Here is a 13,250-nt window from a genome sequence, read left to right on the forward strand (position 1 = left end):
CTCAGGCGATCCGCCTGCCTCGGCCTCCCAAAGTGCTGGGATTACAGGTGTAAGCCACCACGCCCGGCCCATCATTGACTTTTACTCAACCTTTTCCTGTAAACTAAATTTGGAGTCCTGGGAACTGCCCTTACTGCTTTTCTACTTTTCTGCCTTAATGCAAGACTTTACTTTTTTGTTTGTTTATTTGTTTGTTTTTGAGACAGAGTCTCACTCCGTCGCACAGGCTAGAGTTCAGTGGTGTGGTCTCAGCTCACTGCAGCCTCTGCCCCCAGACTCAAGCAAGCCTCCTGCCTCAGCCTCTTAAGTAGCTGGGACTATGAGACTACAGGCACACACCAGCATGCCTGGCTATTATTTTTATTTTTGTTAGAGATGAGGTTTTACCATGTTGCCCAGGCTGGTCTCAAACTCCTGAGCCCAAGCAATCGTCCCTTCTCTGCCTCCCAAAATTCAGGGATTATAGGTGTGAGCCACCTTGCCTGGCCTCTGGTTTTCTTTTTGGGTCTTTCTCATCCCCTCATCGTTTCACCTATCTCTGCACATTATTGAGTACTCACTTTAATTGTCAATGAGTTTGGGATCTCTTCTGCATATTTCTTTATCATTGTGGTCTTTCCTTATAACACTTTTTAGACTTTTCTTTTTCACTTGTTTTTATTCTATCTTTCAAAGTACAATGTTAGGCATGAGGGCGCAGAAACTGTGCTACCTTTATTCTCTGAAAATCCAGCACTTACCTGTGGTTTGCATTAATCACTCTACAAATATTTTTTGAAGAAATGAACCATACTATCTTGTGGGTTGCACAATGAAGGCCTTACTTTAACCAACCCTGTTTTCAAAATCTCCCTAGTAAACCTCTTTGGTCTTTAATGATAATAACATTCACATACTTGTGATAGTATAGAAATATATGATTTTCTAATGGCAAGTCCTTTTTTTTGACCTCCCATATTCCCCTCACTCTGAGTTAAACACTCTGAAAGAAACATATCCAGCCATTCCTTCTGAAAATGTCAAGCAAACAAATGAAACAAGAATATGTTCACCTTAGGCAAGGGTTTGGCTGGTTTACAGTGAAGTCCTCCAACAAAATCAACATTTGGTAAGAATGGGCGAGGAAATTCAAAATCCCAATAGGTTCGAATGAGCCACATTTCAGCTTTCCCCATTGTCTCAAATAATGTAGTGGGTCTTCCTGATGGAAAAAAACAAAACAAAACAAAAGGTAGCTAACACGAGAATTGTTATTTTAATATTGAATATGCAGGTATTTTCCTGAAAGGACTTGGAATAACATACCTAAAAATATATAAAATGTCTGCACATTGATAATATATATAAATACATTTATATAATATAATACATTATATTAAATACATTATATTAAATTAATGTATATTAAATAATATTAAATACATTATATTAAATTAATGTATTTAATATATGTTAATATATTTTAATTTAATAGTATTTAATTTTTAATTTTTAATATTTAATAAAGTTTAATATTTAATATTAATAAAATTTTATTAATTTTATTTTATTAATAAAACATTAATAAAGTTAATAAAATTAAACAATATTTAATATTTAATTTAATATTTAATATTTAATAGTTTTAATTTAATATTTAAATTATTTAATAAAATAATTTAATATAATGTAAATACATTATATTAAATACATTTATATAGTCATCATTTAATTTTTATGTATTGCATATGTTGCTCATATGTATATATAAGGAAGGCAAAGTGTTCAGAGAGCTGTAAGAAGAAATCACATCTTTAATGTAACATCAGTATATTCACAATCATAAATAATTATTAAAATAAGTCACTAATATGGTTTGACTGTCCCCACCCAAATCTCCTCTCATCTTGAATTATAATCCCCATAATCCCCATGTGTCGAGGGAGGGACCCAGTGGCAGGTGATTGGATCATGGTGTGGATTCCTCCATGCTGTTCTCATGATATTGAGTGAGCTCTCATGAGATCTGATAGTTTTATAAGTGTCTGGTATTTCCCCTGCTTGCACTTCTCTCTCCTGCCACTAAGTGAGAAGATCCAAGCTTGCTTCCCCTTAGCCTTTCACCATGATTCTAAGTTTCTTGAGGCATCCCAGTCATGTAGAACTGAGTCTATTAAACTTCTTTTCTTTATAAATTGCCCAGTCTCAGGTATTTCTTTACAGCAGTGTGAGAATGGACTAATGTAGCCACTATGAACTTAAATACACATTTGTCTTCCCTCTGAAGCTGCAATAGTAACAAATATACCTTTAAACAACTCTTTCAGTTCCACAATTAATTCATCTTACCTTACCCATGAAAACAGCTTTCCAGGAAGTACTCTAGTGTCTACAGTTTATTAAGCTAGTCCCTTGATCCTTGGTTCTCAAAGTAAACCATGAGTTTTTTGAGCTCAACACTGAAATCTTTACACCTACTACTGTCTTGGTTCATCTTAAGATCTTAATATAATTAGATTTTTAAAATAAATATATTTACAAATGAGAATTAAAAATTTTTCAGAATTTATTGACATAGAGATATGTGCTCTTCCTTATTTTGGCCCCTATTTTCTTTGATGGAGAGATGCAGTTTAATAAAATATAGATTAAAACTTAGATGTTCACTTTCAACAAGATTTCAGTTTTTGAAGGAAATAATTGTGAAGTTGTTATTGAAGGAATGTATAAATATTAGAAATCTCAAGTTTTAGGCTTCTGTTTCTGGAGTAGAGCCACTATATTTCTCAACTGTGAAGGAATCCTTCTTATATGAAAAACAAAATTTAATTTCTAAATGAGGAAACTGAGGTACTCAGGTACAAGTTCCTCAATCCTGCATTGATAATATTTTTAGAAATATGTGTAAATATAAAATTTGTATGTCTGCCTTCATGAAGATGTTTCTTGAAGTATCTATTGACTTTTTTAAAGATGAAAAAATGTATAGCAAAATGATATGTGATGGCTTAAAGAAATCATAAGTGTTTTACATTGAAGGTTTATGACTCTCTTGGTGTCCTATAGCAGTGATGGCACCAGGGTTCTAACTGATTCTATAAGGTCAACATTCTATATTTTTGAGACTCATAGATCATCTTACATTTGCAATTCATAATTTCCCATAAAAACACTATCTTCTGACATTATATTTATATAAGCCCACCTTCAAAGGCACAGGAAAATTAGAACTTAATAAACACCAATTGGACACACGACTTACCTAGAACTTCACTATAAAACTGGTCCCACTTCTTCAGATCATATGCTTGAAACCAAAAGTCAAAATAAAGCATATATATCATATTTTTTATCCTCTCCATGAAAATCATTTGATCACTTAATTCTGACATAACAACAGGTACATAGGAAGGAGGGAACAGAAATCCTCCACCATTCTTCTCAACTGTGTAGCCAACAGAGAAGCGGAGACTGTACAGAAAGGGTATGTTAAGTAGCTCAGCCAGCAGCTCACCACAGGGATTAACGGCATCTGCCAGAAGGACATCAAATTTTGACTCTTGTAGTTTTCTCATAAGTTTCTTGTTCAAAACTGCATCTTCACAGAGCTTTATATTATAGTCAGAATATTCCCAACACAATTCTTGTAGTTGTGAAAAATATGACCAAAATGTATTTTTTGAAATACTATATGTCCATCTATCGAACATTTTCATAAAAAAATCTTCCAAATCATTTTTAGTTAAAGATGTAGGATAAACTTCTAATTTAATAGCAGATGATTTACTGGCATTGACAAGAATAGAAGCCGAAGATGTCAACACAATCACCTCATGACCCCTCTGAACAAGCTCTTCCAGGATTGTCTTCATATTTATCCAATGGCTGTATTCTGTGGGCCACACCAGCACCTTTCCACAACTCCCAGAGCTAAAGTAACAACTGAGCTGCATCAGCAGAAAGACTGACATCCATTTCAGAGACATCCTGGTCTTATGCAGTGCTTCTTTTCCAGTTGTTGTTTCTTTCTGTCATTTCTCATACTTATATCTGAGGAAAAATCAATCAAGTTAAAATATAACTGCTAAAATTTGAGTTGACCTCATATTTATTTTAGTGTGTTTGGTGTTCTTTTATATTTACAATTACTCTAGTCAAGCAATAATTTTTATGACCTAGAATACGTAAGTAACCTGTCTTATGTAATTATTTTATAATACTGTTAAGAACAGTGGCAGGTGAGAGGCTCCTGCCTGTTCGGTGCCCTTGACATAGAGAGAAGAAGTAATTATACAACTCAAACGCCATTTTTTAATATCGTGGTGCAAGTAATGTCTTCTAAAACTTTGTTGACACATAATTCATATACCATATGACTCACCAATTAGTGTGTACAGTTCAATGTTTCCTAGTATATTCACAGAATTTTACTTTCACTACAATAATCAGTATTATCTCCAAAAGATTCTATACAATAGCCTCTAACCCCCCACTCTGAAATTTTGCATCCATCCTACCCTAGGCAACCACTAATCTAATTTCTATCTCTATAGATTAGCATTTTCTGGACCCTTTAAAAAATAAATGAGGGTTTTCCAGTGATCATGGCAGATGGGATGCAGGACTAGATTGCAGCTCCAGACAGAGCAGCATGCAGAGGCTTGCATTGTGAATTTTAGCTGCAGGTCAACTGCAAGGACAGACCAGCAATTCTGAGAGGATCCACACACCCTCTGCAGGAAGCGTACTGCTCCTGCAGGACCTGGGAGACATCCCAAACACTGTGAGTGCCCCAACAATGGAAGTGGGAAAGGGTGATCCCCCTCTCCAGAATACACATCCCCACTGGAGAAGCTGAAGTTCTGTTTGCAGGAGAAGTTCCTGACTTTATGTGAAGCTGAGTCAAATTAGAGAACCAAGCCAAGCAAAATATAGGGGTAGAGGAAGTAGCAGAAAGGTACTGGGAGCTCTCTGGATACCCAAGCAGCTCATTCCTGCCTGGCACCACAGTGATCCTTTAGGAGGGTGGCCAGCGGAGCAGGGGGTTCAAAGATTCTTCTGGGGCCTGAAAGCTTGAAGGGATGAGTAACTCCTCCCTTCTCAGGCCCAGTCCCAAGATGCAAGGCTGCTTGCATCAGCAGCGTGTGTCAGCAAGATAGCAGAAGCAGGAAGAGAGCCGGCCAGAAGACACCTACCCTGGCTGGAGACATGAACCCTTGAAGATCAAGAGGCCATCCAGATACTACATAGCAGTCACGTTAGATTGGGACACTTACTCTTTACAGAGAACTATAAAACCACTGTCCCATCCTCACTTGGGGCTGATGCCATTTTAGGCCTCAGCCCACCTGCACCCAGGCACTCATTAAAACAGCACGCTGCTCCGCACTGCCTCGTGTTGTCTGTTGGCATGCTCTCAGGGATCAAACCAATTCAAGAACCTTATATCTGGTGCCAAAACCTGGGTGGGGCTCAGGTCTGTGTCCCTTGTGGACCTACCCCTCCACCCCAGAGAGCAAGCCACAGCAACCAGACAAAGGAAACTCCTCAGCCTCCAGTTGCCTCTCTGTGCATGTGTAGCAGGATGAGCCACAGACAAAACTTCTCAGACACCAAGTTGTAGAAGGAAGGGCTTTATTCAGCTGGGAGCATCGGCAAGCTACTGCCTTAAAATCCAAGCTCCTCAAGTGCGCAATTTTTGTCCTTTTTAAGGGCTCACAACACTAAAGATTTCACATGAAATGGTCGTGATTGATTTAAGCAAGCAGTGGGTATGTGACAGGTGCTGCATGCACTGCTGGTCAGAGAGAAACAGAACAGGGCAGGGGGTTTTACAGTGTTCTTCTGTACAATGTCTGGAATCTCTGAATAACATCGGTTTCTAAGTTATGAGTTGATTTTTAACTACTGGGTTTAGGTCAGGCAGGCCCAGGCCTGGTTTCAGGCCTGGAGCCAGGCTGCCTGTCTTTGGTTTTACTTCTTTGTTGTTTTTTCTTAAAACAGGTACTGAGCATAAAACAATATAAAATAATCTGAGAGGGTCCTTCTCTTCCTTCATTCCCCCCTTTTGAGACTCTCACTTTTTATTAGTGGGAGTTCTCACTCATTTTTTTACTTATGTCTTTTTGTGGAATAGACTGATAGTGATTCATATAGTACAGTTGTGCTGAAGCATTTTGTTGAACTAAGGTAGCGATGAAGCTTTTTATCATTTGAAGAAGTACAGGTAGCAAACAAGGGAGCAGTAAGCAGGTTTTTATAATTATTGTAACTCCTATTATAAGAGTTTTAAATTTTTCTAGTGCTGGGAACCACTTTCTAAACATGGCTTCAGGGTTGAATCCGTGCTACACTTGCACAGGTACATGTGCCAGTTTTGTCATATTTTTAACTATGTCTTTAATAACTTGCCTGATTATCTATGTGTAGACAGTAATTAGTAAGGTTAAATTTTTCACAAACTCCTCCTTCAGCTGCTAGCAAGTAGTCAAGAGCTAGTCTATTTTGATAGATTGCATTTCTCATCTGAGTCTCTTGCCGGGCAAGAACGGTCAAGGCTTGACCGGTTTTATTAGTAAAAATTTCTAAAACAGCTTGTAACCATATGATTCGGTTGAGCATGTAGATGGGGGTCCAATATCCTCATGAGCCATCTTGTGCCTAAGTGGCGGGTCCATAGTATTGTATGATTTTTTTCAGGGGGCTATTTATCATCTTTTCCTATGGCTATGCTTCATTTTTTTGTTCCCAGGAAGCATAGACTGGGAAGCCTAGAAGTTCATGTTTTTATGGGCAGTAAGAAGAAAGAAGGCTTAATGGTGCGAATTACACAGCTACCTGTCTACTGATCAGGCAGCTTAGCATAAGCTTTGTGTCCACATATATCCAGTATAATCCGGTGGGGGCCGTCCAGTCCCAGTGGAATTCTGGGTGGGCCCAAACAGTCTGCAACTTTGGAAATTTACTGAATGGATTTCTTTCTGTGTAATTGGAACTCCACCATGTGACTGTTTTTGTGGTACTATTATAGAGCTTTTGTCTAAGACAGCTAAGCTGCCTTACAGGATGAGTGAATCCTTTTCCTTCTTTAGCTATGCAATACTGTCTAATAATTGAGACTTTTAGAACCTAGAGATGATCAGGGTGATTCTTTTGGGCTGGGAATTCATCAGGAAATGGGTCTGTAGGAACTAATTCTTGGGCTTCCTATGGCCATTGATCTACTGTTATGGTTCCTCCACAAACATAATATGAGGTGACTTGTAGAGACTGGGCTACGTGTTAGGCTAATTGCAAAAAGAAATTTTTAGTTTTTCCTGGAATCTCAGGTACTGGCACATTTAGTTCATCATAGAAAGTCTGAAACACTGGTTCTGGAGAGCGTTTTTGAACCTCTCCTTTTATTAGGATGCTTACATTAGGATCTAGTCCCTTTTTATCCATGTCTAATGATATATATTTTTCTTTTATTTTACTTTGGGTCTGAGGGGTTTGTGATTATCAATTCTAAAAGGTTGTAGCTCCTATTCATGCAAGAGGGGCTGAGTTTTCCTTTTTGGAGTCAAACACGATCTTTTTTATTTTCCTTTTAAGTAGTCTGAATGACACGAGACCAGTATTGACACATCTCACATAAATATGATTTTTGACAGATATACTTATTTTTTTTACTGTGTAACTTTCTTTTTTAATTTAGAGAATCACATCCTGTTTCATGCTGCTTACTATTAATAGCGGCACAAGTGTCAAATTTTAAGGTTACATTTTGAGGAGCTCTGTTTTTTTCGGTTCTACCTATTACCTTACTTGTGTCACATAGAAAAGGAGCAGTCCTTAATTTTATTTTAAAAACTGTGATCATGGGAGGCTTAAAATTGTTCATAACACACATCAGGTTGGTTATTTCCTGGGCTACATACCTTGGATAGAATAGCATTATACAAACAATTTGTTGTTGTTTTTGTTGCTATTTAATTTTTTTAGAGTCCTCGGGCGTCCGTGATATTAGTGTTAGTCAGTTTTGTTGTGAGTGTTAGAAAGAGGGCATATAGAACCAGGAAGCTGATAAGAAAGACGATTATGAGGGCGTGATCATGGAAGGCAATTAGCTCTTTTATAATAACCATAAAGTAATTAGCTCTTTTATAATAACTATAAAGTAATAGGACTGTAGCAATCTTTTGTTCCACCTCAGTGACTTGATGTATATACTGGAAACAGTTCTTAGTCTGAGGAAGGTCAGTTGAAGTCCTTCCTGTACAAGTCCAAATTCTGAGGAAAATGAGTCCTGCGATGAGTCTCCTCATGCTTCAGCCATGCGTGGACCAGTCAGCTTCTGGGTGTGACTGGAGCAGTGTTTGTTGTCTTCTTCAGAGTCATTTTGCAGGGATTGGTGAAGCTGCTCCCATCCACGTACAGCTCCCAGTCTACTGATGTACAGTTATGTTTAACTGGGCTCTCTGATAATAGGAGTAAGATAGTGAGCTTAGGGTGTTGCAAACTTCAATGGTTATGTGGGGATTTTCACAATGCAAGCTTTGGTATCTAGTTAGTCTATCATTTATTAGCTAATGATGTCCTTTGGTATTTATTAAAATTACCACAGCATGGGGAGACTTTATGTTTAGGTTTTTCCTAAGAGTTAGCTTATTTGCTTCTTGTGTTAACAGGGCTGTTGCTGCCAGGGCCCTTGGACATGGGGGCCAGCCTTTGGAAACCCCGTCTAGTTGTTTTGAGAGACAGGCCATTGGCCTTGGCCAGGAACCTCCAGTCTGGGTTAAAACTCCAACTGCCATTTTTTTCTCTTTCTGACACATAGAGTGTGAAGAGTTTTGTCAGGTCAGGTAGCCTCAGGGCTGGGGCCGACATGAGTTTTTTTTTTTTTTTTAACTCATGAAAAGCTCTTTGCTGTTGGTTGTAATAGATGTAGTTTATCTAATCTACATTTTTATTGACTGTTATCTACTAAAATATTGACTTAAATCTTGTAACTATTTGATTTCAAGCTTTAAATTGATCTGGTATTCCTTGCAGGGCTTCGATTGCATCTAAATAGATGTGAGAGTTGAAAGACTTATAAGGGGCTCCTCTCACTTTACGATGTGTTATTATTATTTTTTCCTTCCTCTGGTTGATGAAATGCCAGGGTGAAAGGGATAGCCCAATGGACTAAGGCACAAATGCCACTCTAGTTATTTGGCAGAGTGCCTAGTAAAGGTCCACCACAATACTACCACACATCTGCTCAGGGATGAACAAGGGCTGATTGATTGATAAGCTCTTGAAAATTCTTAAGCTCACTGCATCCTTTTAGGTCTCCAAGGAATGCTAAGTTTCCTCCCTGCCGTGAGAGACAGGAAGTGAACTTAGTGTTGAGAGACAGAAGCTGGATGGCCCTTGGGGGCTGACTGGCAGGGACTTCAGGATATAGCAGAGAGAGCTTGGCATGACTTATTACTCCAGGCTGTAGAATCCTGGAAAAGAGCTACCATCAGGCCCACACCTGGTGAACTGGAGGACCACCGTAGTGGGAAGGGGACAATTAGGGCCTCTGGCCTGCCATGTGCACAAGCATAACAATTGCTTTTGTTTATTGTGTAGTTGGAATATTTGATCCATTTCAACCAGGCATTTGTAGCTTGATATACTGTCTTAATTGCTAAAGTTTGTTTTAAGTCTTTAACTTTTATGATCCTCTAGTAAAATGAATATTTCCATTAGCACTAATTTTTATTAGTTTTTAGACCAAAGAAAGCTAAACATCATTTTATATTTAATGTTTCTTGTATGATTTTTATACCAGATAAGCTAAATTTTACTTTTATATTAGTGTGTTATTAATATTAAACTTAATTTTAATAAAACCTTGTAGACATATTTATCCAATTTTTCATAGTTGACCATAAGGTAAGATTTTATAGACTCTGTTTAACCTTTTACAATTTTTGTTAAAGAGCAGGTTGATGCTTTAAGGAAAAAACCTGTTGCATTTTTACTTTCATGTCTAGTTCACAGAAAAACTGGATAATACTTTTTTAACTTTAGCTAATAAGTTTACACACAGAATTTTCTTTAAATTAACATTTTAAAACTTGCTTGAACTTTTCAAACAATAATTCTTTTTTGACTTTTTAATGTAGGTAAAAATCCACATTCTTATGCCTCCTTATAATCTTCTCATTAAAGTTATATTTTACTTTTTTATACACCTGCACATAAACTGTTTCTTCAATAGCACTCAGGAGGCCTTATTACTTTTAAATTATGCAACATTTTTTGCATAAAATTTTTTATAACTTTTTTTCACGACTTTCGCCAACAATTTTTCAACATGTCTCAACTTTCTGACTTATTACAAACATTTTTTTCTTCTCTTTAAACAACAAGTTAATTTATTTCAGGACAAGAATTTACCATATAACACTCTTTTTACATAAATTTTACCTCCTCCCCCCCCTTTTTTTTTTGAAGATAACCATTCCTTTTTTTTAAAAAGTGAACTTTCTTTATGTCTTTGGACTAGACTGTCTAAGGCCACAAGATTAGAAGTTACCATAATATGTGTTACACTGTCAACTTTTAGCAAACTTCGCTTTTGTTGAAAACCTTGTAAGTTTGAAATTTCAATTATCCTTTGCTATTAATAAGACCTTGTTTAGTCTAAATTTACTTAGAATTGGTATAGATGGCCTTTTTTTTTTTTTTCTCTGCTGGTCTTTCCTTGCCTCTGCCAGCTGCTTATGCTGCTGTTCTCTTAACTATTGTGAGGGGGGGTGGGGGGAAGGGGTCTAAAACCAGCTGTAACTGTCTATGTACAGAACCTGGTCTGGGTGCCTTGGCTTACAGGTTACCTTGTGCCATACCTTAGAAACTAAAAAGACCTATCTAGGCTTCCTTCTGATGGCTAACCTACCTCTAATGCTGGCCAATCTATTTCACACAAAGTTCTAAGTTTTCCTGGAGTCATAGTGACTCCATAGTCTCTATTAAATCCTTTCTTGAAATTCATTATCATAGTTCCCAGTGCAGTGGGCTTACTTTGTGCCTGATCTATGTTTTTTTGAGACAAAACACCATGCTCACAGCACACACACACCACAAAACAAAGAACGGGTAAAAGGGCACACACAAACATTTCAGTTTACACCAAACCAAAATCAAAACCAAAATCAGAGTATCCAGAAATCCAAGCCAGGTCAAAAACCAAAACCAAAGTATCCAGCAATTCAAGTCAAGTCAAAACCAGATCAAAAGTGCCAATACAGGCACACCGTGGGTGATCAGGCTATGCTACACTTCCATTCAGGTGGAGTGGGGCAAGTTCAAAAGACTAGTCCTACCAAGTCTAGCCAAGTCAAAACCAGAACAAAGGTGCCAACACAGGCACACCGTGGGTGACCAGGCCATGCTTCTACTCAGGTGGAGTGGGACAAGTTCAAAAGACTAGTCTTACCAAGTTCCAGATGTCCAGACTCCAAGTGCCAGTTCCTTCCCGGTGTTCAGCCACTGTGTTAATCCTCCACGGGGGCCTGCTACGTGTTGATCTGGTGAGGTGTTCCACTGGGGCAATTTCCTACCCAGGAGCGCTCTTTGGATCTCATCACTCAGGCTGCCCGGAGTACCCCACAGGGATGCTCCACAGGGCAGGCTTAAGCCACCTAAGGGGCTGCCTCAGCCTTCCGTCAGTCACCTTGCTTCTGGGTCAGGGAGCCAAGAAATGTAGCAGGACGAGCCACAGACAAAACCTCTCAGACATCGAGTTGTAGAAGGAAGGGCTTTATTCAGCTGGGAACATTGGCAAGATACTGCCTTAAAATCTGAGCTCCCCGAGTGCACAATTTCTGTCCTTTTTAAGGGCTCACTACACTAAAGATTTCACATGAAAGGGTCGTGATTGATTTGAGCAAGCAGTGGGTATGTGACAGGGGCTGCATGCACTGGTGGTCAGAGAGAAACAGAACAGGGCAGGGAGTTTCACAATGTTCTTCTATACATGTCTGGAATCTATGAATAACATTGGTTTCTAAGTTATGAGTTGAGTTTTAACTACTAAGTTTAGGCCAGGCAGGCCCAGGCATAGTTTCAGTCCTGGCGTTTGGGCTGCCTGTCTTTGGTTTTACTTCCTTGTTGTTTTTTCTTAAACATGTACTGAGTGAAAAACAATATAAAATAATATGAGAAGGTCTTTCTCTTCCTTCACATGCACATTGGTCACTGATCTCGCCTACTGTTAGGCTTCCCTGGGAGCCCAGTTAACAGGGGAAAATCTGCATGACCTCTCTTGGTTTCTCCTGTCCCAAAATCCAACACTGATCCAAGAAGGCTCCAGTATGTGCCAGGCACTCCCTGATCATCTGGTCTTAGGGGGACGCCTCTAAGCCATTTGATTCCGTTCCAGGAACCAAAAAGGCAGAGGTGATAATAGCTCCTTTTATTGTCTTCCTCCAGCTGTCCAGGACAGTCTTCTTTTTCCCTGTTCTCCAGAGCCTACCCTTTGATATGGAAAACTCCCCATCCTCCATTCCAAAAAACAGCCCTCCAGACTGCCTCATAAAAAATCTGCAAACCTTAGGCCTCAGGCAAGATACCCACCCTAAGCGCCTTGTCTTTTTTATACAATAAAACCTGGCCGCAGTATGAATTAGATAACGGGTCCAAATGGCCAGCAAATGAAACACTTGACTTTACAATTTTAACTGGTTAAAGCAATTATTGCCGATGACTGGAAAAATGGGGAGAAATTCCTTGTTCCAGGCCTTTTTGCACTCAGATCACAACCTGACTTCTGCAATTCTTGCTTACCTGTTCAAATCCTTCATTCTCACCGCCCTCATAACCTTTCTCCTCCTGACCCTACCTCTTTTTCCTTGTTGGATCCAGCAGACTGCTGTCCACCCCTCCCAGCCCCTACCCCCACGTCTCAACCATCTTCTATAACTCCCCAAGCTTTCTCATTGTCTTCGCAGTCACCATCTTCCCAGCCACCATCTTCCCAGCCGGCATCACCTCCAAAAGTACCCACTTCTTTTTCTACACCGTCCTCTCCTCAGGAAAACTCTAGCATTGCCTGTACTCAGTCTCCTTCCTCACTGCCCTCTCCTGAAGCCTGTAAACCCATCAAGCCACCTTACACCCCTATGTATCCTCCACTGCCTGTCAACTCAACCCGCCTTCCCCCTTCAAACCCTCAGCAGGAACCCCTTCTGGCTTCTTTCTTCTCTCCTGTCCATACCAGCTTGGGCACCATCTTTGGCCCACGCTGCACCCATACT

At 39.1% G+C, this 13,250-nt stretch overlaps 1 protein-coding gene across 1 annotated transcript in view; it reads right to left on the reverse strand.

The window, feature by feature from the left end:
- Positions 1-11,803, reverse strand: part of UGT2B17 (UDP glucuronosyltransferase family 2 member B17) — a 39,150-nt gene extending 27,347 nt beyond the window's left edge. The window contains exons 1-3 of the mRNA NM_001077.4: positions 11,432-11,803; positions 3,242-4,029; positions 1,053-1,201 (exon numbers count right to left, since the gene is read on the reverse strand). Coding sequence (NP_001068.1) covers positions 1,053-1,201; positions 3,242-3,965 — 873 coding nt within the window. The 5' untranslated portion in view covers positions 3,966-4,029; positions 11,432-11,803. The remainder of the gene's footprint in view (positions 1-1,052; positions 1,202-3,241; positions 4,030-11,431) is intronic.
- Positions 11,804-13,250: the final 1,447 nt, after the last annotated feature.

This window comes from Homo sapiens, chromosome 4 (genome assembly GCF_000001405.40).
Source record: "Homo sapiens chromosome 4, GRCh38.p14 Primary Assembly".
Taxonomy (NCBI): domain Eukaryota; kingdom Metazoa; phylum Chordata; class Mammalia; order Primates; family Hominidae; genus Homo; species Homo sapiens.